This window comes from Homo sapiens, chromosome 4, assembly GCF_000001405.40.
Source record: "Homo sapiens chromosome 4, GRCh38.p14 Primary Assembly".
Lineage (NCBI taxonomy): Eukaryota > Metazoa > Chordata > Mammalia > Primates > Hominidae > Homo > Homo sapiens.
Genome location: NC_000004.12, coordinates 56,936,699 through 56,941,678, shown reverse-complemented (window position 1 = coordinate 56,941,678; position 4,980 = coordinate 56,936,699). Strand labels below are relative to the sequence as shown.

Sequence of the window (4,980 nt, the reverse complement as noted above, 5' to 3'; positions counted from 1 at the left end):
CGGTTTATCCCTTAAGGTATTCCATCAAGCTTTCATAAATTTTAAATCTTATAGTACTGTTATGACTTATACAGACGTTTGATGTGGCTGAGTTTGAACATCGTTGGTCACAGATTGGAACCCTTCAGTGTATTAATAGACTGTACAAAGTCTCATTCAAGGACCTGAGATGAGCACCCCAGCCCCCAACAGCTGAATGGGGTAAAGTGAATGACTGTCATGGGTCATAACACATTAATCAAATTAAGAATTGAGTCTACACCAACACTGGTGTAGAAATTAGATATGATATAAAAGAAATGAGAGAAGGGAAAGCTCTTCTTGACTGGAGAAGTTATCAGCTAATATATAAGGTATGACAGTAATAACTGATTCAAGCAAGAACCAACAGATGTTAAAATCAGTGGGTTTGTTGAGGAAGGAGACTCAATGTATACTCCCACAGAATTATAAGAAACCTTACAGTAGAGAAATCTGGCAGACAACACCTTAACAACCTAACACAACAAATATTGGAATAAGCTGACATCATGTGCCTTCTCATGTAATATAACAGAGTTAAGTATCCTTGCCAAAATGCATAACCTGAACTGGAGCTGGAAGAAACAGAAAAAAACTAAGGGACATTTTTTAAACATCTGGTGTGCACCCTTTAAAGTGTCACTGTTAAAGACAAAGGCTAAGGAATTGTTCCAAGTTAAAGGAAACTGAAGAAATGTGACAAGTGCAATGGGTAATAAATGGAGGGGATTAGGTATCAACACATTTATCAGTTTGAAGACATTCGTTGAGCATCCCAAATCTGAATTGGACCATTTCAGATTTTTTATTTTCAGATTTGGGATGCTCAACCGGTAAGTATAATGCAAATATTCAAAAATCCAAAATCCAAAACACTGTAGTCCCAAGCTTTTTGGTTAAGGGATACTCAATCTGTACAGACTAATACTAGAACATTACATTAATCTTGCTGGGTGCGGTGGCTCACGCCTGTAATCTCAGCACTTTAGAAGGCCAAGGTGAGCAGATCACTTGAGGCCGGGAGTTCCAGAGTCTGGCCAACATAGCGAAACCCCGTCTCTACTAAAAATAAAAGATTAGCCAGGAGTGGTGGCACGCGTCTGTAATCCCAGCTACTCAGAAAGCTGAGGCACAAGAATGGCTTGAAACCGAACCCGGGAGGTGCAGGTTGCAGTGAGCCGAGATTGCGCTAGATGACTGTCTCAAAAAAAATTTTTTTTTAATAATACTAATCTTCAATGTCCCGAATTAATTATACTAATTGTAGAAGAAAATGCCCTTATCCTTAGGAGATACAAATGACATATTTAGAAAGGGTATATCTGCAACTGAATTTCTAGTGGTTTAGCAAATAACATAAATATATAGAAAGCAAATGTGAGTGGTGAATCCAACTGAGGAGTATGTTTTCTTTTTTCTTTTTTTTCTTTTTTGAGACAGAGTCTCACTCTGTCACCCAGGCTGAAGTGCAATGGCACGGTCTCAGCTCACTGCAACCTCCGCCTCTGGGTTCAAGCGATTCTCCTGCCTCAACCTCCCGAGTAGCTGGGATTACAGGCGCGTGCCACCATGCCCGGCTAACTTCTGTATTTTTAGTAGAGATGGGGGGTACACCATGTCGGCCATGCTGGTCTTGAACTCCTGAGCTCAGGTGATCCGCCCGCCTTGGCCTCCCGAAGTGCTGGGATTACAGGCGTGAGCCACTACGCCCATCCTAGTATACCATTCTTTCAGTGTCTCTATAAGCTTGAACCTTTCTCAAAATAAAGTTGAAAAAAATATATTTTTCGGCCAGGTGTTTCAATGTCTCTGTAAGCTTGAACCTTTCTCAAAACCAAGTTGAAAAAAATATCTTTTTTGGCCGGGTGCGGTGGCTCACCCCTGTAATCCCAGCACTTTGGGAGGCCAAAGTGGGAGGGCTCCTTCACGTCAGGAGTTCGAGACCAGCCTGGCCAACAGGCAAAACCCCATCTCTATTAAAAATACAAAAATTAGCCGGGTGTAGTGGCGCATGCCTGTAGTCCCAGCTACTTGGGAAGCTGAGGCAGGAAAATTGCAGTGAGCCAAGGCTGCAGTGAAATGAGATCGCACTACTGCATTCCAGCCTGGGTGAAAGGGTGAGACCCTGTCTCAAAAACAAATAATAATCTTTTTCAAGTCTTGCTATTTCCTGCTACTTGGGATGACTTTTTTTTTTTTTTTTTTTTTTGGAGATGGAGTTTCGCTCTTGTTGCCCAGGCTGAAGTGCAATGACGCAATCTCGGCTCACCGCAACCTCCGCCTCCCAGGTTCAAGCAATTCTTCTGCCTCAGCCTCCCAAGTAGCTGGGACTACAGGCATGCACCACCATGCCCGGCTAATTTTGTGTCTTTTCAGTAGTGATGGGTTTTCTCCATATTGGCCAGGCTGGTCTCAAACTCCCGACCTCAGGTGATCCATCCGCCTCGGTTTCCCAAAGTGCTGGGATTACAGGCGTAAGCCACTGCGCCCGGCAACTCTCCTTACTTTGTTGGAGGCTTACAGAAAGAAAACAGTCTGTTTACAAAGAGATTTCTACATTATCAGAATTTTAAAATCACAGTAAAACTACCATTGTGTATTAGTTAATATCAATATACATATACTATTCTTGGCCTAGGCAATTAACTCTTTGTCCCTATAAGGGCCAGTATGTAAAAATAAAAGCATTCTGGCTCTCATGGAAATGTTGATTGACACAAAGGCTTACATACTACTTATATACCAGTAAAATGCTCACTACTTCGCAAACCATGCAAAAAAGGAGATGAGCTATACAACTTAACTAGAAATTGAGAAAGCACCTTTTCTTTAATATTTGGTTTGTTATCTAGTGGAAGAGGTCTTAATGCTAGCACTATATGCCAAGCAAATGCCACTCTATAGATAGATGTGCTACACATCCACTTTATAGATGAGGAAACAGGCTTAGTAAAGTTAAAATGATCTGCTTAATAATAGAAGAGAATCGCCTTGTAAACCTGGCTCCCACTGCGGGGCCCACAAAGCACTTGATACAGTGAACTTCAAATCCTTTGAAAAGCCACTTTCGGCTGGGTGCAGGGGTGGTTCACGCCTGTAATCCCAGCACTTGGGGAGGCTGAAGCGCGCGGAACACGAAGTCAGGAGATGGAGACCATCCTGACCAACGTGGTGAAACCCCATCTCTACTAAAAATACAAAAATTGGCTGGGCATGGTGGCACGTGCCTGTAATCCCAGCTACTCCGGGAGGCTGAGGCCGAAGAATCGCTTGAACCAAGGAGTCGGAGGTTGCAGTGAGCCAAGATCGCACTAGGGCACTCCAGCCTGGGTGACAGAGCAATACTCCGTTCTCAAAAAGAAAAAAAAGAAAAAAAAAAAAAAGCCACCACTTTCTTCACACTGACCTCCCTGAGTAGATGTTAGCATATGGTTCTTAGAACTTTCATCAATCTGCCTTCATGAAGCTGAGGATGAGTTTTAACAGGCTGCTCACCCTACTATACTGTTAACTCTTTCTATATTCAACCCAAGTGAGACCCTTGGGAAGAAAAAGGGATGGGGCAACAAGGCAAGTATGAATGTGTAATGTATGTTAAAAACCCTTACCAAGGATAGTTGTGGGAAAGCAACAGCAAAGGACTGGAGAGAGACCTTGTAGCAATTATTTCATTCATTAAACACCCCAAATCAAAGGATTTGTACATTCAAGCTAAACTCCCCATATATCCCAGCTCAGCTAGAAAATTCCATGCTACTCATCATCAACTCTACCATAATAAAATCAATGCTTAGAAAATTCATTTTGTAGTCGGGCATTGTGGCTCACGCCTGTAATCCCAGCACTTTAGGAGGCCGAAGCAGGTGAACTGCCTGAGTCCAAGAGTTCAAGACCATCCTGGGGAGCAAGGCAAAACCCTGTCAATAGAAAAAAAAGAAGAAAGAAAAAAACTAGCTGGGTGTGTGGCATGCACCTGTAGTTCCAGCTACTCCAAGAGGCTGAGGTGGGAGGTTTGCTTGAGTCCAGAAGGTTGAGGCAGAAGTGAGCCATGATGGTGCCACTGCACTACGGCCCGGACAACAGAGCAAGACCCTGTCTCAGAGGAAAAAAAAGTTAATTTTGCTTTGTTGCTGATAAGGAGTTTTGCAGGAAGTGGGAAGAGGGTGAATAACTCACCAATCCAAATATGAAATACCATTCTCCTGACTCAGAATCTTCCAGATCTGACACTGCATCAAAACAAAATGTGGCAAGGCATGATGGCTCATGCCTATAATACGAACGCTTTTGAGAGGAGGCGGCAAGAGGCGTGGTGGGGTAGGTCTGTAGTCCCAGCTACTCAGGAGGCTGAGGCAAGAAGACCACTTGAGCCCAGGAGTTCAAGGCTGCAGGAACTGTGATCATGCCACCACACTCCAGCCTGGGAGACAGAGTAAGACCGTTTCTCAAAACAAAAAAACAACAGGCTGGGCGTGGTGGCTCACACCTGTAATCCCAGCACTTTGGGAGGCCAAAGTCGGAGGAATACTTCAGCTCAGGAGTTCGAGACCAGCCTGGGCCACATGGTGAAACCCCATCTCTACTAAAATACAAAAATTAGCTGGGTGTTGTGGCGGACACCTGTAATCCCAGTTACTCAGGAGGCTGAGGCAGGAGAATCGCTTGAACCTGGAGGCCGAGGTTGCAGTGAAAGGAGATCATGACATGGCACTCCAGTCTGGGCGACAGAGCAAGACTCCGTCTGGGAGAAGAAAAAAAAAAAAACACACAGGCCAGGCATGGTGGCTCACATCTGTAATCCCAGCATTTAGGGAGACTGAGGTGGGAGGATCATCTGAGTCCACCCTGGGCAACACAGAACTCCGTCTCATTTTATAAAAAACAGCCGGGCACGGTAGCTCATGCCTGTAATCCCAGCACTTTGGGAGGCTGAGGCGGGTGGATCAGGAGGTCAGGAGA

The 4,980-nt window shown here is 44.3% G+C and overlaps 1 annotated feature.

Moving 5' to 3' along the window:
• Nucleotides 3,781-4,980: an enhancer, noted in NCBI's record as "P300/CBP strongly-dependent group 1 enhancer chr4:57802865-57804064 (GRCh37/hg19 assembly coordinates)". NCBI's record gives its function as "activates an origin of replication core promoter dependent on BRD2, BRD4, P300/CBP, MED14 and CDK7 cofactors, with strong dependence on P300/CBP, by STARR-seq in HCT116 cells {active_cell/tissue: HCT116}" and the evidence as "EXISTENCE:reporter gene assay evidence [ECO:0000049][PMID:35650434]".